The sequence below is a fragment of the Homo sapiens genome, chromosome 2, assembly GCF_000001405.40.
Source record: "Homo sapiens chromosome 2, GRCh38.p14 Primary Assembly".
Taxonomy (NCBI): domain Eukaryota; kingdom Metazoa; phylum Chordata; class Mammalia; order Primates; family Hominidae; genus Homo; species Homo sapiens.
The window spans coordinates 29256317-29279985 of record NC_000002.12 but is presented as its reverse complement, the minus strand read 5'-3'; the positions used below and the strand labels follow the sequence as shown (position 1 = coordinate 29279985).

Here is a 23669-nt window from a genome sequence, read left to right as displayed (position 1 = left end):
CTGGTACATACCAGAACTTTCCCTTAGTCCCAGAGTGGTCTACCTGATACATACCAGAACTTTCCCTCAGTCCCATGGTGGTCCACCTGGTACATGCCAGAACTTTCCCTCAATCCCAAAGTGGCCCAGCTAGTAAGTGGTAGAACTCCAGACCTGAGGCCATAGCTGACTCTGGAGAGTGACATGGTAGCTGTACTTCTGGGGGACTCACGGAAAGGAGTGGGTAGAACCAGGAGACTGCGAGAGCCTTGAGGAAGCCTTTCCCATCTCCAGCAAGGAGACAGTAAGCGGTGCCAGAAGCAACCTCTTCTTCACCTATCAGGTAAAGACACACAACCAGGCACCTTCGAAAGTAGGGAAACCTGAATCTGGGTGGTCCTGATGCCCACTCTGTCTCTGGGCCAGCACATCCACAGAAAAGAGCCTCCTAGATTGGTGCTGCTCTACCTGCTGACTGCCCATCACCTACCACCCACAGACCCCATTCCTAGACGGCCTCTGCTCCTGCCCCACCCTCCACCCATCCTTCAGCAGCTCACCTTTGTCCCACCTTTGTCCCACTGTCCCTTCCCTGCAGCCTCTGGGGGCTGGAGCCATGGGGGAGGGTTGGCCCATGGATGGACAGAGGCACCCATGTGTGGGTGGCCCCGGGTGGACAGAGGCAGCACTGCCTGGTTCCATATTGCCATCTGATTGAATCTTCCTGATGGTTGTGCGTGTTCCTGACTCAAAATATGTGCAATTCACAGTGTCAATCAAACTCTTTTAAGCAGCAGCTGCCACTGCTGTCGCCGCGCAGAGCACTTTAGAAACTCTTCTATTTAGAAACCATTCCAGCCTCAGCCGGCATCATCCCATCCATGCTAAGAGGCCCAGTGGCTGTGAGAGACTTCGCAGATCTAATCTCTTAGTAATAAGGAAGGAAGGCACAGAGAGGGGCAGGGAGACATGCAGCTTCCCAGGGAGCACCCATTTAGAGGATAGCCGCGATTCTGTCCCCCCCCCCAGGCACACACATGTCATTTACTCGCTCAAGCCCCTCTGGCCTCCTGGAAGGTACACCCCTCATATAGCTCAGCATTGAAACCAGGGCCTGGCTTGGCCCCTGGTCCTGTGAATGACAGATTAGGAGATGATGACCTGGTGGAGAAATGTGCCCTGTGGGGGCACTCACCCCCTGATGTGCAGGCGAGCCAGGCAGCTGTGCCTTCCTGATGCTCCCACAGGGAACCTGAGTCCTTCTATTCACCCTCTCTGTCACTCTAAGTGCCTGTTTTCTTGCTACCTGGAAGCAGCATTTTCCTAAGGGTTGCACCTGCTTTAACAAGACAGCAGTATTAGGGCCCTGGTTTTCCAGTTGAGATCCCAGGCTTGGGCTTTGTCCAGGGTTACAGAGGCTCAAGCCAGAAACTCATCTATGGACTGTTTCCCATGGGGAGACCCCACGGAAATCGTGGCTATAACCTTGCCAAGATTTGTAGAGAAACCTGATGAAGGCGTGTGAGATGTGTGCAGAAATGCCTCTCATGCTGTCTCCCCTGCCTCTGCCTCCTCTCCTGGTCCCCATCCTGCTTACTACTCCCATCACAATTATCCTCTAAGAGGTCTTTGATCTTGCCACTGTCCTGTTAGAAACCTCCAGTGGCTCTCCATTTTCCCTGAAATAATGGCAGAACCTCCTTGCCTGATCTCTGTTCAGAGGTCCACACCATCTTTACCTCCTTCCTCACTCCTTGCTCCCCAGCAGGACAGGTCCTATCCCTGCCCACATGGCCCTCACACCAGTTCCTCTGCTCCAGACATCTCCTCCCTGCACTGCACTCCCACACCCACATCCTCAAGCCCTTCCCTGCATTCAAAACCAACTTAAATACTGTCTTCTCTGTGAAGCCCTCCTGCTCTCCCCACCCTGGTGTAATTCCCCCTTCCTCTGAGCTCGCACACTGCTGTATCTGCACCTTTATGAAGCATTGACCTCCTTCTACTTTATTCCACACCAAGGTACACACACTTCATCTTCACACTGGACAATAAGTAACTTGAATGCAGCGTTCATGTCGATTTCTCTTAGAATGCCCCATAGACCTATATGTAATAGCTTTACAGGAAACAAAAATAGGTGTGTATCAAGGTTGGAATGAGAGATGCCTCTCAGAGGCATACACCCCAGTGCCAGAGTGGCAGGGGCTGAGGGTCCTTGTGCTGTCCATCCCCTCTTGCACACTCATCTGGCATGCCCAAGCCACCCAGAACAGGATTTGAAGGTTCTCCATCAGGCACTTCTCCTTCCACACCCAACCACCAGCACACACTATCCTGACTGAGGGTAGCATGGAGACTTCTTCATGGGGAATATGGCCTGAAGGGCCAACCCCAGTGATGCTGGCCACGGCTACAACAGATTTGGGCATTTCTTCTTTAGAATCAAACCAGATTTGGGTCCTGTAATTGTGACTTTCAGACAGAAAGGATTGTTTCTGAATGACCAGATCTCACAAGATGGTTGAAAGCACAGATAAATGTATGGAGTAGTTCAGTTAAGCATAATCGATCACAGTTATTCGGATAAAAGTTTTGGGATTCAAGGCTTTGCTCCATGGAAACAGTAATTGTTCTCTGGCCAGGAATAACCAAGCCAGCATCTAACAAGCCAGCATCTTCTACACGTTGATCAGAGATCATCTGCACACAGGCGCAACGGGAGCTTCCAACCCCTGCTGTAGTTTACCCACTGGCTAAAGCTTTGCTGCCTCACTGCAAATCCATATGAGCAAATGCCCTTTCTTTCCATATCTCTTCCTCTGCATCTTTCCTCCCACTGTTGACATCCCATTTCTTGTCCTTGTTGTACCCTGCAGGCCCTGTTCTCTCCATGTTGCCAGTGCCACCCTGCTCTGGTTTTCTGCTCTTGACACCCTATGTGGCCAATGCCCTGTGGCCTGGGTTCCCTCTCTCTTCCTCTCTCTCCTTTTTTTCTAACACCTTTATCAGACTGTAATTTATATATCATAAAATGCACCCACTTTAAGTGTACAAGTCAGTGACTTCCAACAGATTTATAGAGCTGTGGAGAGAGCACCACAATCCCGTTTCTGAGCATTTTCATCACCCCAAAAAAAGCCTAGGTGCTAGTCTGCGGTCAATCCTGTGCCCACTCCCAGCCCCAGACAACCACTAATCTGCTTTCTGGCCCCACAGATTTACCTTTTCTAGACATTTTCTATCAATGGAATCATTCAATAGGCGGTCTTTCACCTACTGTCTGGCTTCTTTAACTTAGCATCACGTCTTTGAGGTCCATCCATTTTATAGCACGTCTCCGGGTCCATTTTTGACCATTGACTGGCGTCCCATCATATGGCTGTACCATATGGAGTTTGCCCAGTCACCAATGGATGGGTATGACTTCTTTCTCTTGGTGTTTTCATACCCATGCCAGAGACCACGCCCTGTTCTGCATGTCATTCTGGATTGACGTTCTGGAGGGTAGGAAAGGATTTTAAGGTTCTCAGGAAACCTTCACTTAGAGCAGGAAAGGGCCAGCTGACTCTGCTAGCCTTCCATGGGATGATTTCCCAGGAAACAAACAAACCAAAAGTACTTTCCTGTTTATGTCACTGTAAGGCCTTCCCTGGCCACAGTCTGAGAACCTGGCCCTCCAAGGATATGAAAGGGTGGGGGAAAGAAACAATATCTTAATGGGTTTGTTGTTAACACTTTTATGACCCCTGTGTTGGTTACAACACTTCCAGGGGTGATAGTCAAGTCGCTTAATATTTAACCACCAGGCAGGCAACCTCCAGTGATGCTGGATGAAACCCAGGATGCTTGAGACCCCTGCTGGGCTAATCAATGGATAAACCCTATGGGTGCTGGTTAATTGGGAAATTGAGGGGTCGGGGCAGCAGGGAAGGAGCCAGTTGCCTGAAGCAACAAGCAAGGGGAACTGGTGGAACTGTGGTTCTTTATTGGCTGGTACAGAAGCATTTTAATATTTTAATAATGACTTAAGCCCCACTGGCTGAATGTCAGACCTACCCATTTCTCCTGTTCAGTTCACCCAAACAGGACACCCAAGCTGGTATTTTTTTCCCCAACTCAGTGCCTTGAAATCACTCCCCGTTTACTGAACGAAGCAGTTACTGTCAGATTTCTTCCCATTTCCAAGCATCCTGCACACCCAGAAAGCAAAAGATTTCTCCTCAGATTATCAGGGAGTCCTGGTCCCAGGCCCCAAACTCCAGGCTGGATTTAAGGACCAGTGTGTCAGCCATTAACAGTACGGAGCGATAGTTCGGAAGGGGAAGTGCTCTGCATTGCAGAAGTAGGGGGAGCTGACTGCTCTTCTCTCGCCACTGCTCTGGGATTAGCGAGCCTTTTTCAAACTCACATTCTGAGCCAGGTGATCAGCACACACCTGCTGGATGCTGAATCCTAAGACAAGACCCCCCAGTTTGCTCCTCACACACATTCCTCTTGATGTGTACAGGTTCTGGCTGCAGATGGTCGCATGGTGGGGACAAGGATCCAGAGCCATCGTGGCTTTTGACAATATCTCCATCAGCCTGGACTGCTACCTCACCAGTGAGTTCACTCTGACCCCAGCACTCTGTCCCCCAACCCCCATGGCCCATGGCCTCATTGTCCCCTCCTCAGCCTAAGCCTGACTGTCTCTCCCACCTCCCTCAGTGTGAAATCATCTCTCACCCTGAAATCAACCCTCACCTAACTCAGCCCGTGGGGTCTTCTCTATTGCAGTTAGCGGAGAGGACAAGATCCTGCAGAATACAGCACCCAAATCAAGAAACCTGTTTGAGAGAAACCCAAACAAGGAGCTGAAACCCGGGGAAAATTCACCAAGACAGACCCCCATCTTTGACCCTACAGGTAAGGGTTCAGCTCACAAATGTGAGCACAGTAACTTCTTGTTGCAAAAGGCAGAAGAAAGATTGGTGCTGTCTTTAGGGTGGGGAGCTGTGCTGAAAGAATGAAACAGTCTTTAGAAGGAGTATCACCTACACTCTGACTATGGGGTCCAAGGGGAAGCTGTCTGGTTCTCATATTGCCTGAGCAAAGGAAACCTCTGGAGGTTGTACAAAGGAGCAGCTTCCTCTATGCCTAGGGAATACCTAGGCCCCACCCAAAGGAGAGAACCAAGCTGGCATTTTTTTCCCCAACTCTGCTTTGAATTCACTGCCGCCTTACTGAACAAAGCAAAGCTTACTGTAAGATTTCTCCTCCTTATAAAGAGGGCTGGGCCTGGCCAAGGTTATCTGTTGCACAAAGGTAGGCTACCCCATCATGGGTAAAGCCCCCAAAGCTTCCTTTCAACACAGTTCCCCCAGAGCTCAGATCCCTCCAAAGCTGTTCTATTCAGCATACCCCAAGCCAAGACTTCTCATGGCCCCTTGCCACTTCAGCAGAACTCGTCAGCCTCTGGTTATAAACCACAGGTGTGACTTCTCCACCACTCTTCTATTAGACCAGCGGCTGTGAACCTAGCCCCGCAGAAGCTGACTAAGGCTGCCCCAGCCCCATGCCAGCCAGCCAAGGGATTTTCCCAGGCAGGCACTGGTGCCTGGGCCTGTGAGGTGTCTTCTGCTATGTATAGCCTGGAGAAACAAGTGTACAACACACAGTCTACCCACACTCTTTTTCCTATAAAAGATAAGTCTTTATCAAAATAATAACAGATCAATGATAAATCTCTAATTTCAACTTATAATGTGAAATCCTTTTTTGGCACAAAGTACAAAAAATGAGGTCCATACCTTTGCCACATCTGCTCTCAACATGTGAACTAGACATTAGCATGGCTTTGTCTTTGAAGGAGTCCTTTCCTTTCTGTCCCATGAAAAGCTGCCCCAGGGCTAACCGTCACCCCTTCCTGATTCCTGCCTGATCTAATCCAGCTGCCAGACCCAGGAGAAAGAGTTAGTTACTTTTCGCATCATCCCTCCCTTCCCCTTTAACTAGAACCATGAAAGACCTTTGTATATTCCCACACAGAGGGGAGCCCGTCCTACAAAACTGCAGCTCTCTCTGCTTTCCCCCTCACCTCCCAGTTCATGCCAATGTCTCACCTGATAGAGGCAGCCTTCTAACTTCTCCATTCAGTGCCCTACCCCCCAGGCCCAGTGATTCACCTCCACTCTCTCCTTGGCTCTTGGTCAACTACCACCTCCCTGTTATAAATTCAGGAAATGTATAAATTTATAAATGGAGGGAAGAAGCCAGACTTCCCCTTTTAGTGTGCTAAGTAAACATAGCCATAGCCCCCTGCCCAGCCTAATCAACAGCACTGATTACACAGCAGAGACTCCAGAAACATCTATTGACTAGTGGGTGGCTGGATGCCTGAGCTTGGATCTCAGGTGTCAGCAGCCAGCCCCCTGCAGCCAGCATTTAGGAAACAGCCATCCACCCTGCTCAACTCCTGAGTTTATTGCCACATAACTCCCACTGTCCCTAAAAGGTTACTCAGTAAGGGCCTGCCCAATGGCCACTCAGACTAATGAAATCACCAGTGGCTCACACGTGGCGATGACTCCCCCACCACCTCTAAATAAAATTACAGGCTGGAGGAGACAGCAGCTGGAACACAAGTCTCCCCACTGAGAAACTTGACCCCTCATTCTCAACCCCAGTCTCAGAGCAATACTGAGGTAGTGCCTATGGGTCCAGGCAGACTCATGGAGGCAGAGGCCAAGGCCACACCCAGTCAGTAATAATCACCCAGCAGACACGTGCCCAGCACGGTGCATGGTTACAACAGGGACAGGGCTGAGCCAATTCTTGCCATTCTGGAGCTTCTGGGCCATGGGAGGAGAGTGGCCTACGAGGCAGCAGGGCATGTTTGCAAAGCCCAAGCTCAGAGCTTCTACCTGGGAGGCCCCCTGAAGAAGGACAGAGGGATAGGCCAGAGGGGGAAGGAAAGGAAAGGAAAGATCATAGAGCGTGGTCCCATAGCCTAGGTTATTTCACACAACAGCTTGTCCTCACACAGGCCCAGGGACAGTTGCTGTTTTTACCATTATAGGGATGAGTAAAATGGTATGGAAGAATTTAAGGGCCCCAAGGCTGGAAGGCAGTAGGGCCAGGAAGTCAACCTGGAGTCCACATTCTTTCACCCAACTAAGCTACTTCTAGGTATCAAAGTCTCCAATCGGAGATAAACACTAAAAATGGAAAAGAGCAGGGAAGAGTTCCAGCCAAGAGGCCCTGAACGAACAGTAAACAAATCAGCTCCCAACCTTCTGACAAACAATCGAGGAGACAGGATAATAAGATTTTTCTTTCCAAAGTTCAAAGCTGTCAGTTTCTGCTGGGCTGGAACGAGGTGGTTGGTGGCATTTCAACTCTCCTCCGGGCAGGCTTTAGAGAACTAGAAACGCAAAGGCCCTTTGGGGTCTTTTGAGAACAGTTACTGACAACACTTCTAAGCTTCCCTAAACATTCCTCACTCCCCACAGCAGCCCTCCCTTCTGATGAGGGACTCAGCCTGACTCCTTGGATCTGGGAGGTTCTTCACCTCCAGGCCCATGGAGCAGAGCTGAGCCGCTCAAGTTTCCAGGCTGGGAAAATCCTGTCCAGGTGCTTCATGCAGCATTCTCGGAAGACTCTGAGTCACTTTAGCTAATCAGATGAAGATGCTGAAAGAGAAAATGGGGCAAGTATTAAGTCCAGGGAAATTACATTTGTCAGCTTTGCACATACAATTACACTAACCAAATGATTGGGGTAATGTGACCACGGGGCTGCAGAGCCAGGTTCTTCTCTCTCTCTCTCTCTCTCTCTCTCCCTCACCCGACTCCCTCCTTCTCTCTCTCTCTCTTTCTATCTCTTTCCCCTCCCTGTGACTGTCTCTCTCTGGCAGTAATGAATGTTAGCAGTGAGGAGGAACAGTCAGGCTCTGCCACACTCTTTCCCTAAAAAGCCCAGATTGGGACAAGCAGGCCCCCCAGGGCCCAAGGACCCTTCCTCAACCTCCCTACCCCTCTATCCTTCTCCTTGGAGCTCAGAGGCTGTCTGTGCAGGGCGAGTCTAAGGGAATCAGCTCAGCTAATGGGAGAACCCGCCCAAACTTTGGGCCCAACTCCACAACCCTAACTATGGAGCCTTGGCATCAAAACCACAGCCTTGCCTCTAGCTATTTGGTGAGAGGTAGGTCTGCCATTTTCTGCATACACATCTCTCGCCAAAGGGGGGATAAAAGCAATTAAAACTATATAGTGTCATGGGAAAAGCACTGGACTAAAAGAGAGAACACCCCCACTGGGCCCTGGCTGGTTGCACTGGCAAGCCGTGGGCGTGGGGCCATTCTGCCTCTGCAGGTCCTCCCATCGGGGCAAGTCTGCAGATGAGGGGGGTTAATGTGAACACAGACAAGGGCAGAGAGACTGCAATTTTTTAAAAAATCAAGGTTAGAAGTAGACAGTGTCCAAGTCCCTTCCCGTTTCCAGCTCCAAGATTCCAAGGGTTGAAGGGCGATACCATCAGGGAGCCATGGCTTTATTTGGCCCATATCTCCAATTAACCCATGGCACTGCTAATGTGCCCAGAAGTGAGGGTGACAGGCTGTCCACTTTCACACACGCTCCTGATTCAAGAACAGATGCCAATTCCAATGAGAAAGTTTTATATGTTTCATATAAATTGATTGGGTCTATTTCTGCTAAATGCATTATCCATTCACCACAGAACAACTATTAGAGTTAATAGAATTTGTAGCTAGAGCCATTATGTTCCAAGTACGCCCTTCTGGGGATGACGGCATCCTTGGAAGGCAGGCTCCACAGGCCTGCATCCTCCCTCAGACCCTGTCTTTCCACTCGATAGGGGTCTTTGTTCCCCTCAGAGCCTGCTGCACTCAGGCCCGGCAGGTCCGGCCAAGCCTACTTCAGTAGCACACCCCAATAGAGGAGGCCTCTTCCCTTCAGAGTCACTCCGTTCCTGAATCAATAATGTATTCTAATCCAGTTCCGAAAAATCCTGGCCTCTTCCTTGCTAGCCCTGCAGAAAATCCCATGCTGGGGACAGGGAGGAAGCCAAGTTCCTCTCTTTAGCCACAGCTCATCATTGCATCCCAGCCTTGAAGGTGGGAGGTCCAAGATGTGAGAAGTCCAGAGACAAGTCAGAGCAGGAAGCAGGAAGTTCCCTCTGGAGGGAACTCAGATAGACTCTTGTGTTAATGGCATCATTAACAGCTTTCCCCAGAAATCCCCAGTTACAGACGCAATCCAGGACTCACAAGTGCAGCAGTGAGCTGGCCAGCCAAGGAACTAGATTCAGCCCCAGGTTTCTCCAAGTGTGTCCTCAAATCATCAGCATCTGGGTCCCCTGGTGTCTGCAAGTGCTGCTTGTTAAAAATGCAGATTCTTGGGCCCCTGTCAACCTATGGAATCCGAATGTCTGGGAGCAGGAAGTCAAAATCCACATTTTTAACCATCCCTCAAGGAAAGTTTGATTAGCAAAAAAGTTTAGGAACCCGGGACTGCATCCTGACCTACAGACAAGGAGCCTGGCCCAAAGCAAAGGCTTTGCATCACATTCCCTCTTCACGCAGCAATCCTAACTGCGATTCACCAAGCACTGCTGTGTGCCAGGACTGTGCTGAGCTCTTGGTGCTATCATAGTATCCCCCTTTAACAGATGAGGTCCAGAGAGGTGAACTAACTTGCACTAAGTTAGACAACTTGTGTAAAAGGCAAATGATCATGTTTCTTAAAAATCATGCAGAAAGTGAAAATTTCTAAGCCAGATAACATTTAGAAGGTCAAAGTTGTGATAAAGAAATCTTTTAGGAATCCCATTATTGAATAGGTCTTCGAGAGGGATCTCTCTTTCATTACTGAATAGATCTTCAAGAGGGATCTCTCTTTCATTATTGAATAGGTCTTCGAGAGGGATCTCTCTTTCATTACTGAATAGGTCTTCAAGAGGGATCTCTCTTTCATTACTGAATAGGTCTTCCAGAGGGATCTGGCTTCTTATGTTAGTTTTCGTTTCAACAGAGCACATCTGCATCTTCACTAACATTCAAGACGGTGCCCCAGGCAGGCAGTGTTCCCACGCACATGTAAGAAAGCTGATAATTGCAGCTAATTGGCATTCCTCCATGCTCCCCAGCCTTCACTGGTGCACTTGGAAGGCACTTCTGTTAGCACCCATTCAGCTGGGGGGGGACTGTTCATTAAGGGGTGGCAGGCATGGGACCGTAGTTAGAACCCTTGGAGCCGCTTGAGACACTGGTCATTTCCCTGCTCAGCTGCCCTGCTGATTAACCTCATGCTCTGTGTTCTTGCTTATTTTAGATTATCTCGCTAATTTTAGATTATCACCTATTTATAGCAAGCACACTAGTGATGACGCAGGAAGTACCAGCCTTAACAAGGCTCTTGGGACCCCAGTCATCGCAGCACGTTCGGCGCCCTCCCAATTAGAATGTCACTATTCATTTGGGTGTGTCTCCCTTCCCTGGAGCAAGCACAGCTGTGCTCCAGGAAGAGAGGTGGCAAAGAACTAATTTGTGATTCATGATCCCATTACCAACGCTAATGAGTCTCTTCCAGTGGAAGAGGCTTTCACGCTGGAGAGCCAGTCAGCATCCCCAAGAGGTGGACATCAGTGAACACCAGGGTTGGCTTGATGGTGAGAAAGCACTTCTCCAGGGACCTGGTGACGGTGACAGGGTGGAACTGGAGGCTGGGCTGAAGGCCAAGCACCCATCAGCAATAGAGCTTCCCAGAGTGTGTTCCGCCATTTGTCAGCCACCTCCTTCCATCTGAACACAGGGTGACAGTCACTAAGCTCATTCAGTGTCTCTTTCATTTGATTCTCACAGACTCCCTGAGGGAGATGTCACTATCAGGAAGCAATATAGCATCTTTTTTAAGAGCACAGACTACCTGTGTCCAAACCCCAGCTATGCCACTCACTCTAAGCACCTCCCTTCTGCTGTCTGTGCCTTTGTTTCCTTGCATCAAAAAATGGTGCTTAGATTATCAATGCTTACAGCGCTTAGGTTTGATGCAAGGATCACATACGTTTATATGTATCCAGGGCTTAGAGAGGTGCCTGACACATACGGAGCTACCTGAGCCATCATTTTCTTCCCATTTTACAATTGAGGAAACAGAGGATCAGAAAGATTATGTGACTTGACCCACTAATCAAATGCAGGGCCAGGGTTCAAAGTCAAGCCGGCTCAATCCAAAGTCTTTCCAACTCTAAGCCCATGCCTGTTAGGAACAATACTAAATACTGCCCAATTGCTGACCAGCATAAGGGAGAAGCTCTTGCTGCATCCAAATCAGCTGTTTTCTTTCCACTCGGGAGATTCAACTCAGCGCCCAATGCAGACAACATCATTGCTTTCCCTGAATCCCAAGCCTAGGGACTAACAACTCATATAGTTCAATTTAACAAGCATGTACTGGGTGCCTGCTCTGTGCCAAACCCTATGCAGGGGCCTGGGGCTCTGAGGCTGTGAACGAGCCAAAGTGTTCTCTTGAAAAATGATTACCCAAAGCTTCGTCTGCATAAGCCCAGTATGAAGCCACTACTATCCCAGCACAAGAGAGACTTCTGATTCTGATCACCTCTAGAACCAGGACAGGTGCCCTCACTTGACCTTGCCCTAGATGGTGCATTGCAAATTATTCTGAACTAATCATCATTTTCAAAATGTGTCCTGTGAGATAGAAAGGCATCAACACTATTATTTCAGAACTTCCCAAACTCAGGCCCTCCTTAAGAAATAGCACAGACTCACCCAGCTCTGACAGACTCAAAGATGCCTCATGAACCTCCAGTCTAATGCTAGGTGGGGGTTGGAATTATGGCAAAGCTGCTGACAAAATGCTTCCACATAAAGTCGATACTGTTGCCCTTCTAAGCAGCAGACAGGAACCATTGCCTTTCTCTCTCCTGGCTGGCCTGAGAAAACATGTTGTTTTTTCTCATTTGTTTCAGTGAAAGCTTGCATAAGTGAGAGACAATAAATGATCCAGGAACTCTGGGCTCAGTATGCCTTGATTAAGATCATTTAGCTTGAAGACTAACAGAACACAAAGGCCCCTCCATCAGGGCAAGTGCATTAAGTACTTGTTTGGGAAGACTGCTTTTTTATCATTCTTCTCTCAGACTTGCTGCTTCTGCCTGTAAAACAGCTCTGCATCTTCTCAGAGCCTATTTAGCTCTCTGCTTGTTGCAGCAAAGCTTCAGTGGTTTTGGACAAAGAAAAACATTTTTTTTAATTCATCCGGGCCTGGAGGTGGACAGTGAATCTAGGAGTAAAAAGGTTAAAATGCTAACTCTTGATCACAAAAGGTGGTCTTCCCAGCTTGCCCCTCTCCTATTGAGAGGAAAAGAAACAAGAGGTGGAATTGCCTTAGCTATCATGGAGTCAGGGAGGAGAGAGAGGGCACAGGGCAGAACTCAGCCCAGCCAGTGCCCTCCCTGCTGGGTGCTTACACAAAAGATGAGGAGGCCAAAGTGTGTACCAGCTGTGCAGCAGGGGATTTGGGGTGCCTGGATAGTTATCTATTGTGTTGTAACAAATGACCGTAAACACAGTGGCTATAACAACACACATTTATTATACCAGTTTCTGCAGGTCAGGAAATCAGACACAGCTCAACTGGGTCCTCCACTTCATAGTCTCTCGTAAGGTTGCAGTTAGGGTGTCAGCCAGGACTGGGGTCTCATCTGAAAGCTCTACTGGGGAAGGGTTCACTGCCAAACTCATATGGTGGTTGGCAGTTCTTGGAGGGTTACTGGACTGAGGGCCTCACTTCCTAACTGGCTGGAGGCCAACCTTGGTTTCTCCCCAGTATGGCAGCTTACTTTTTTAAAGCTAGTGTGGGGACGAGGGGGTGGGGTGGGGAGAGAGAGAGAGAGAGAGTCTTCTAGTAATACAGAAATTATAATTTTATAAGCAAGAAAACGACATCTCACCATCTGTGCCATATTCTGTTGGTTAGAAGCAATTCACAGATCTCACCTATACTCAAAGGGAGGAGGTTACACAAGGGTGTGATTATCAGAAGCTGGAGACCACTGAGGCCATCTTAGAGCCTGCCTGTAGTGGCTTCTCCATGCTGGAGACGAACATTCACCAGGAAGCTCTGGGAGCCCAGTGGGGATTCTGATGGGCAGAATTCCTAGGATCAATCTCAAGACTATGTATTCAATATTCTACAGATGCTTAAATAGTCACGAAGCACCTACTGAGTGCCAGGCAATAGCAAGACAGTAAGTGAATTGGCATAGAATCCCAGAGACCAAGGTTCTGGCCATGCAACTTCAGGAGAGTCAAAGATTCTGGGCCCCGTTTCCTCATCCATCAAGTAGGGATATTAATTACCTGCCACAGTTCTTTCTCAGAGCTGGCTATTGTACTGAGCAAATGAGATCATTTCTATCAGGCTTTCAAAGGTACAAAACAATATGCTGATATAAAATGCTGTTGTGACATTGTAATTAACATTATTATTAAATATATATGTAAGCAAAAAGATGGGCCAATTCACTCACCCCTCATGTGTTGCCTTCTATAAATATTCAGTGCATTTACAGTCCACCTCCTTCTATGAGTTGTGCACACTTTTGTGTATACACGAAATTCTATGAGCTGCACACTCTTATGTATACACATAAATATGTATCTGGAGGGGAGGTTAATATCTTGAATTTTGTGTCCTCTCATTCAGTAAATTCCCCCAACCTAATTGCTCATCAGTTTTCAGGTAAAGCCCTCAAACTCCCCTTGGGGGAAATAAATGATTTGTGTGGGGTATAGAGGATTGCCCGAAAAATCCTCTCATCCGTAGAATTTAAAAGAGGATCTTTAGTCTTCTAAAGCTTATCAAGATCTTGAAAACAATGGATGCGTCAAAACCTTGTTCACGAAAATTCTTTTAAACAAATTTGAAGTGATTAAATTGGAGATGCTTTGTTTGTTTGTTTTGGGGTTTTTGTTTTGTTTTGTTTTGTTTTTTGAGATGGAGTTTCGCTCTTGTCACCCAGGCTGGAGTGCAGTGCCGTGATCTTGGCTCACTGCAACCTCCACCTCCTGGGTTCAAGCAATTCTGCCTCAGCCTCCCAAGTAGCTGGGATTACAGGCACCTGCCACCACACCCAGCTAATTTTTGCATTTTTAGTAGAGACGGGGTTTCACCATGTTGGCCAGGCTGGTCTTGAACTTCTGACCTCAGGTGATCCACTCGCCTAGGCCTCCCAAAGTGCTGAGATTACAGGCATGAGCCACCACGCCCAGCTCTGATTTGTTTTTATGGTGAATATTAACAGTGTCTTCATAATAAGATAAGAGCAAATTGTAGTCATCTAATTTTTATTATTTTTTAGTAAGTGATTGGCAGATCTAACAATGATCATATTCTAGGAAAAATGTTAAAAAGAAAGAAAACAAGGCTTAGTGTGTGGTTGTCCAGCAACCTAACTGAGAATCAGAAAAACTCCCTGAGCGTCAAAATAGTTTCCTGGAAAAGAGGACTATTTCTTTCCCCTCAGCTGGCTTTATGATCGTGATCCTACTAACTAGACCATTCAGTCTACCAGCCAATCCATTTCGTCAGACATGGGATTAGGGGAGTGGCCACGCTGCTAAGGAGTAGGACTCACGTGTTTTCTTAAAAACACAGGGCTCGGCCAGGCACAGTGGCTCATGCCTGTAATCCCAGCACTTTGGGAAGCCAAGGTGGGCAGATCACTTGAGGTCCGGAGTTCAAGACCAGCCTGGCCAACATGGTGAAACCCTGTCTCTACAGAAATACAAAAATTAGCCGGTGTGGTGGTATGTGCCTGTAATCTCAGCTACTTGAGAGGCCAAGGCACGAGAATCACTTGAACCCAGGAAGCAGAGGTTGCAGTGAGCTAAGATCTCACCACTGTACTCCAGCCTGGGTGACAGGGCAAGACTCTGTCTCAAAAAAGAAACAACAACAACAAAAAAAAAACAGGGCACCCTGCATTTTGGATATGTGTATGCATGCATGTATGAGTGTGGGCTGGTGTGCGCAATTGTGTGTGTTCGAGTGAGTATGTGAGAGTGTGCGCCAGCTCCTCAGAAGCCCAACCCCTTCCAATCATGCGTAAGAGACAAAACAAAATGGCTTTCAGCAAACGTCCACTTACACTAACAAAACCACTCTGGTTTGTCCATCTTAAACATTCTAACACTAAAACAGGAGCCCCAAAGGGCCAAAAGTGTCCCAGCACCCACTCACTGTACCCCTGGCATGCATGACCACCTCCTTCTGACCACTCAGGTGGGTTTGGAGATGGCATTTGGGCTACTCTGTTGTTTCTATTTCATTTTGCTTTGGTTTTGTTTTTCACATAACAAAGATTTATTAACCACCCTCTCTGTGACTAGTGCTGTTTTAGGCCCTGGACACAAAGCAGTGAACAAAACAGACAAGCCCTACTCTTATGGAGTATATGTGCTAGTGCAGAAAGCAAACTAGTGTATAGACAGCATCATTTCAAAGTGATATGCCGTGAAAATAGTAAAGCAGGTCAAGGGGACAGGGGTGGTGGTGGCCAAGCACACATGTGTGTGAATGTGGGCCCTAACAATGAAGTATCGAGGGAAAAAAACTTCAGGTTCCTTCAAGGACGTGGGAGCAGAATCAGGAAAATGCTACTGGCTACTAATATTAAGATGCTACTTCTTACTCTAGGCTGGTGTGGCCTAGGGAAATCTTCAAGGCCTTCCACAACATCCTTGCAACACCCAAAGCTCTGAAGGCCTTGACGGTGAAGTGCACTGAGACACAGCAGAGGGTGGGTGGAGTAGGGGAGCATGCCTTGGCTGACCAGACTGGGCCGGGGGAGTGACCAGGGTGCCTGGCTCTTCATCGAAGAAGTCAGGCAGAAGGCCACGTGCAGTCAACTCTGAAGAAGCACGAAAAAGTTGGTTCCAATCCAGGCTGGCATTGCTGTTTGAGAGACAGCAGCAGGATTCTCTGTTCAGTGGTGTTTCATTGCAAGTAGCTGGGAGATCTTGATTCTAGGAGGCTCCATTGAGGTTGAAGTAGGATCCAGCCAATGGCTGGGAGCCCAAGGATTAGTCCAGTCCTACAACAAAAACTATTTTATAGATGACTGCTGATGTTAATTCAGTGGCCCTAGAAGTGACTACTGTCATTATCCAGTGCCTGATAATGTCAAGACTCACATCTCTGAGATCCTCTTGGCCTTTTCTTCATGCTTGTTGCCTCATGGTTACAAAATGGCTGCTGCAACTCCAGCCACCATGACTGCATTGCAGACAAAAATAGGAGGGGAAGCATCCCTTCCCTTCTTTTCTCTAGTCCTCTAGTCTTACACACTTTGCCTTCTCTTCTTGGTCTAGTATTTGGTCCTAATGCTTCCCCACTGCTTTCTTTTCTGCCCCTGAAATTTGGATCTCATATCTTCTCATATGCGTCTCAGTCCTCCAATTTATTTTAGAGGATCTGGGACCTAGACCCAGAAGTCGGGACACCTTTCTAGCTCCAAATCCCCAAGCCAGTTGGGCTGCCTGCACCTCCGTCTGCTCATCTGTCGGAAGTGTTACAATTCCAAGGGCCTTGTAGAGATTTCAGTCATCATGAGTTAGAACCAAACAATGAGCAGGAATGACTTAGAATAGAGTGAGGGGCTGGGGCTTCCCACACGTTTGCCTCTCTCTTAGATGCTAGTGAACCTTACAACAGGAGGCCGCAAGTCCTAATCACATAACCCCTATGGTGATGCACTAGATTAAATCTCTCCTATCCGCAGACAAGAATGGACAAGGCAGAAGTCCATGACCCTTTGGGCTTGAGTGTGGCAGAGCTGGTATTTAAACCACCAACCACTTCCCACTTAAGCCTCAAAACCAAATCCATTATGCGTAACCTGCAGATGGCTGAGTCCACAGCACCCATGTGATATCAAACACTTTATTGGCCCCACTCTGGCCCGAAGCCAAGTTAGAAATAACCAAATTAGCCCTGAGGCCTCCCTTAACTTAATTTTTACAGCTCTGCTTTCAGGGTAGTGTTTTTCCTGTGACCTTTCTCTTCTCCCTTGTGTTCCTGACTTTCCCTTGGGGAGCAGGGGGTGGCTGCGAACACAATACAGCAGCCATCACAGGAGCCATTAAAATCTCCTGCAGATCACTGGGTGTCAGAGCTGCTTAGGGCAATTCAGCCCTGAAAGCAGCTTTTATCTAGACAGCCCCAGCTTGCTGCCCTGTTGATGGGGGCAAGCTCACTCGGAAGTCCCTCTCCAAGAAGGGGTGTCTGCCTTCCGCAGGGAGGGAGATGGGCCTCTGGTCTTTGTTCCATGGGATACTTCAGCATTATCAGGCACTCTGCCTGTCTAGAGAAACTGTGTCTGGAGCAAGGAAACAACAGTGTAACAGTAAAAATGAGATCATGTGTGTGAGCATTTCTAGTAAAAGACAGGGCTGGTGTGATCATTGTTGTTGTTACCACCCCTAACTTCTCATCATACACAAAGAACCACAGAGAAAGCTTTGCCTGAATGAACGGGGTGGGTGTGTATACACAGGCACACATGGGCAGGCGCTCACAGGTGCACATGCAAGCATATGTGCATGTATGTGTATAAGCACACACATGTGTGTACCTGTGCATGCACATACACGCAAATAAATTCGGTCTGAGAAACAAGCTGGAAGAACAGCATGGAAAATTCATCAACTGAAAACAGTTCGTGTTGTAGAAAGAGGGAAGGTGATGTGCCCCTCCTCACTTAGCCCCAGGTTTACTTTGCAATCACTGGCCAATTGCTTAACTTTTCTACATGATTGCATGACTTATGAGACAAAAGTCACAGTTCTTCTCCCTTCCCTATCTACTGACCTATCGTGGTTGTAAGGAGCTAGGCTTACTGGAGGAGAAATGTACCATAAATTGTCCATTGAAATTGAAGGCCTCAACATTCTCAACCCTGTTCATTCAGAATCATGATACCATCCTTTTATCTGAAGTTAGACTTCCAATACCTTCCACCATCCACCAAATATAAATGCCAAAATATAAATACGTTCCAAAACTGTGACATAAAGATTTTCTGCAGTTAACTGCCCCTTAGCCTGATACATGAAGAGGGGTAGGGCCACTCTCATGCCCTCACCTGATCTTAGAGGTAAAGTAAGATTAAACACGGGTGGACATGCTGCAGTACCGAGAGACACCTGCCAGCAGAGACAGAGTCACTATAAAATATTTATGCCTGAGGCCATTTAGTGAAGAGTCAAATAGCCCTAAACAACTCATTAAGTCTGGGAAGCACTATCAAGAAAAGGTTAAATTATACTTAGTGAGCTGTATCGAAAATAGGCAGAGCATAATGAAACGGCAGGTTCTAGACCATGGTCATTGGAGATGTCCCTGAGGTGAAATCTGAAAAAACAAACCTGCAGCCCAGGAAGAGAAATGCAGGTGAGGGCTCTGACCAGATAAATGGCATACAGGGGCTCACCATAGCAAATGAGCTCAAATGATTTCTACATTTAAAAAATGTTTCTAGGATTCTGGGAAGAGGGCAGTGATGGTGGTAACAGCATAGTTTTTTTTTTTTAATCTTTCCAAATCCCTACATAAGCACAGAACACCCATATATCAAAACTGAAAACCCATGAACAATATTGACAGCAAAATTTGAAAATAAGGCATTCCCCTAAAACTTCAAAATGCAAGTGAGATAGGTCAAAGCACCAACAACCACAAGACCTGCATGGTATCAGCATCTGTACAAGATATAAGACAGGAAAGAAACAGGCCTGAGAACAGGAGAACCCCTAAGTAGCCAAGAGATAGTTGCTAGAAATTACAGAAAGCCAGTCTGAGAGCAGCTTCTGAAAGTGGGAGCGGCTTTGCCCAGTGCAGGGGACCAGGAGTACCACAGTCAGATCTGAAGGCGCTGGAGCAGCCTGGCCAGCAAACGTCATTGCAGGAAAGGGCCCACTTGGAGAAGAAAGTTCTGGGGATAAAATCAATATTGAGTAGGAAAGGGATAATAGAGAATAAATAAGAGAATGTCCAGATAAAAGTGAAGGAAAGAAACAGTCAGAAACCTCAGAAAGCAAACTGCGTTTTTTTGTTGTTGTTTTTTTTTTTGTTTTGTTTTGTTTTTGAGGCAGAGTCTCCCTCTGTCACCCAAGCTGGAGTGCAGTGGCATGATCTGAGCTCGCTGCAACCTCAGCCTCCTGGCTTCAGGTGATTCACCTGCCTCAGCCTCCCAAGTAGCTGGGACATAGGCACCCACCACCATACCTGGCTAATATTTGTATTTTCAGTAGAGACGGTTTTACCACGTTGGCCAGTCTGGTCTTGAACTCCTGACCTCAGGTGATCCACCTGCCTCAGCCTCCCAAAGTGCTGGGATTACAGGCATGAGTCACCACACCTGGCCAAACTGCCATATTTTTGAACACTGTATTAAAAAAAGGAGTAGAGGGAGTTCTGTGAAATAAAAAAGCTCCTGAACCCTAAAAATCCAGGAAAACTAATCTCACATAAAAATACATAACAGAAGAGCATCAAGATCAAATATCATTCAAAATTAAAATAAGAAAACAAAAACAGGATACAGAGGGCGGAATAACACGCCTACAGAAAGCAAAATCATGCCAGAAAGACGTGCTTATTGGATGAGTCAGAATCTAACCTTCTGTTTTAAAATGAGCTAAAAGACACAAAAACAATAATACAAGACATGAAAAATAACGTAAGTCATTGTAAGAAAAACAGAAATGTGGTGCTAGAACTCAGCAAAGAATTTGCAATAAAAGAAAAACTATTTTCAAAAATGAAGGCTAATCTATTAAGGGAAGGAACAAAAAGCCAACAAACACAACAGTTTATGCCTTATAAGAAATAGAAGTTAAAAAGAGGAAATTTTTTAAAATGAAAAAGATGACACACATCAAAGACTCTATTTTCTTGTTATATAAAGTGTTGCTGTCAAAAACTCTGATAATTCTAAATTTCCTTCTCTAATAAGTCATTTGCTATTTTGCTTAGGTGCCCAAAGTATTTTTTTCTTTTTATTTTAAAGTCCGGCAACTTTACTAGAATATACATGAAGATCCAACATAGAAATAATTGAAAGACCTGACGAAGAAAACCGAATAACTAGAACAAAACAAAATACTTAAAAGTATAACTCCAGGAAAATATCCTTATTGAAGCTACTTGTTAAAAGAGCACACTGTATACCTAAGAATATTAACCCAGAATGAGCGGTACCAATGTGTATTCTAGTAAAATTGCTGGACTTTAAATAGAAAGAAAAAAATTACTTTGGACACCTAAGCAAAATAGCAAGTGACTTATTAGAGAAGGAAATTTAAAATTATCAGTTTTTGACAGCAACACTTTATATAACAAGAAAATGAGTAGCATCTTTAAGATACTCTAGGGAAAAATATATTATCAACACTCAAATAATTCAAGGAATATTTCTCCAGTGACCCCTCTCTAAGGAATTTACTTTAAAACAAGCTTCGGACAACGAAAATGACTACAGAAATAGCAACATAATGACTGGTGTGAGCAATAAATATAAATACTTACAGAACTATGACGAAGTAAGGGATAAAGAGGAAAGAGAAGCATATGTAATGGCTATCTGCCCGGGGCAGCTATGTGTAGTACAGTACACAAAATCACAGGAGAATGGAAAGAACATATACAAAAAAAAGTTGAATGCTCTCAATTTTTATATTAATTATGGTGGTAGTAGTAAAGATTGTGACTCTAATACTGTGTGTAAGGAGAGGTAAAGTAAATGAATAATTACAATATATTCTAATTCAACTATCACATGTGTTTCTGAGAGACATGGTTCTCAGTGTGAAAAAAGAAATGCAGATATGATATACACGAGGTTAAATAAAAAGTCCTGTCGTCCTGAATTTGAGTTGGAAATATCAATATGAACTCATGATGTACCTTGTGATATACATATGTATGTGTATTTCATATAGATGTATGTTTATACTGATATACATATATGCATGCACATATATATTTCCTAGCTCTGTTCACTCAAAAAAATAGACAATCACCAACCCAGTAGCAAAAAGCTTCCATAGCACCCAGAATATGTACTTAAAATACCTTTTCCTACTAAGAGAAATCAGGGCTTTTGAGGAAACGGTTGATTCCAGGTCTGGAGAAGAAGTATTTTGTCATATCATATAGCAAAGAAGCTTTAAAAGTCTACTAGCGTCATGTCAAAAGGACCTGGGAGGCTACCACTGACCAAAGACGTGATCATTTGAGCTTTCAGAGAATAGTAATTGTGAATAATTAAAACTGAAAAATATGTTTAAATTCATGGATTCATAATAATGTACAAACAGTTAATTGGCCAGCTTCAGAGGATGATAGAGAACCAATTCAGTATCTTGAAATGTATACATAAGGAGAAATAATTCAGCATTTATTCTGCATTTTCTACATGAACCATATTACTCAGTAACCCAAATAGTAGATTGGGGGAACATCTTTTTATAAATATATTCCAACTAATGTATGAGGAAAGAGGTAAATAAGTAGAATAACATTATTTTGCAACTTGCAATAAATAAATGGTTCTAAGCATTGAGCTTTGTTTGATAAGTGCTAACATGATAAAAGAGAGCAATAATCAGACACAAAGTATCTCCTGATGAAAGAACATGACCTGTAGTCTTGCAAAAGGATCTAGTTGGCAATTTGCAGGACAGAGAACATGTTGAACTGCCCCATGGAGAAGGAGTCAGCAAAATTCAGAATCTGGGAAATGCTGCAGTCAAATAGCCCAGTTTCTTCAAAACGAGAAAATATGGAGGCCAGGCGTGATGGCTTTTGCCTGTAATGACACCACTTTGGGAGGCCATGGATCACTTGAGCCCATGAGTTCAAGACCAGCCTGGGTAATATAGTGAGACCTCATCTCTACAGAAAATTTAAAATTTAGCTGAGCATGGTGGCATGTGCCTGTGGTCCCAGCTACTCTGGAGTCTGAGGTGGTAGGATCGCTTGAGCCCAGGAGATGGAGGTTGCAGTGAGCCAAGATCATGCTACTGTACTCCAGCCTCGGTGATAGAGCAAGACTATGTCTCAAAAAGAAATGGATGAATTATTATATTTGCCTGGATTTTGGTCATGATTTTTATTTACTGGGACCTAGGGTGCCCATCAAAATGGCTCTGTATGCCACAGCATCCATGGCATTTAGTTCAGTCAGTGGATGTGGATGAAATTCAATGCTATGGATCTGAATAAAAATTGTACAAATGATCCACATGAAGCATTGAGCGCTCTTCCGTGGTACAATACACACAGGCCTCCAAACTGAGGCAGATCCTTACTGTTGTGATTAATAGTGACGATCGAGAACTTTCCTTTGTATTATGCTTTATTTCTTTGCATTGAATTCAGCAGATGAGATTGTTTAGCAACAGTAATAAAACCAGGACAATCATTGTCTAGCCTATTTTTTTTTTAGCGATGTACTGTTTATTACTAATTGATTTGTTTCTTCTTGGAGGGTGCTACAATGTGCTTAAAATGAAACCCAGTGCTTAATAGACTTTTCTGTACTCAACTGTCTATAACCAATCAGTATTTTGATATTTGTGGGTTCTTTATACAGTTTAGATATGAATGAGTATTAAACTATGTTTTCAGTATGGGGTATGTGTAAGAATGAGATAAGGCAGTTCTTTTTTTTTTTCTTTCATAAATGAGTATTAATAGAATAGGTTTGTTTGTTTGAGAGAAGAGGAAAGAGGCAGGTGACGTCCCTCCTCTGCCCCCCATCCCAGATCCTCCCTGGGGACCATTTGATCATCCTACAGCTCCATAGGGCTTCAGAGACCAAGGCAGACCCTCAGCAGGGGAGATATGGGGACCTTTAGATTGTCTGCTCAGCATCAAGCCAGCCTCACTGCTAGTCTCACTGTGACCTTGATCTTCTCTCCAAAAACTGGGATTTTTGTCCTGTTGCTTATGACACAGTCTCTCTCTGCTTCCTGACCTTATAAACACTCCAGTTACTAGGTTTCCCTTATGACACTGCCTTGCTCCCATGTCCTCTCTGGGGACCAGAGCCTCAACCTGAGCACCTTCTCTCATTGGCTGACACCTTTGATCCTGCACAGCCCATGCTCCACTAGGCTAAGCGACTGCGGGGGCCACTGCAGGACTTTCTGGGATGGAGGGTCCACTCACCTCAGTATAGTGACCATACTCTCACCTGTCCCCTCATAGTGGCCTGCCTACTCTTTGGGCCTGAGCAACCTTCATATGGTCTGTCCTGGCTAGAACTGAGCCCCAGGCTCAGGGATTTCAAAAGAAAAAAAAAAAACACTCAAAAGTGTTCCCTAGAGATTTCCTGGGGAGCTGAGCCCCTTTTCAAGCCTTGAACTTGGACTCAGAAGATCTACATTTAGTTCCTGGCTAGACCAGTTATCTACTTCGTATGCTGCAGACCAGCCACTCAACTCCTCTGAACTTGAATGTCCTGATTTTTGGAGGGAACACTGTAACTCCACTCGCAGCACTACAAAGTTGCAGCAAGCATAACGGCATTTCCTGCATGTGTGAAAGCGCAGTGACTGGCCTATATTAGGTGCACAGTAAACACTGAGAGGTTTTCAC

General features: G+C 45.9%; 1 protein-coding gene across 2 annotated transcripts in view; it reads left to right on the top strand.

Moving 5' to 3' along the window:
• ALK (ALK receptor tyrosine kinase) overlaps nucleotides 1–23669 on the top strand; it is a 728813-nt gene that overhangs the window by 641601 nt on the left and 63543 nt on the right. For both annotated transcript variants that reach the window (XR_001738688.3, NM_004304.5), the window contains exons 10-11: nucleotides 4490–4584; nucleotides 4759–4887. Coding sequence is in view for 1 of the 2 variants with exons in the window: in NM_004304.5 (NP_004295.2) it covers nucleotides 4490–4584; nucleotides 4759–4887 (224 nt within the window). In the remaining variant the exon portion in view is untranslated. The remainder of the gene's footprint in view (nucleotides 1–4489; nucleotides 4585–4758; nucleotides 4888–23669) is intronic.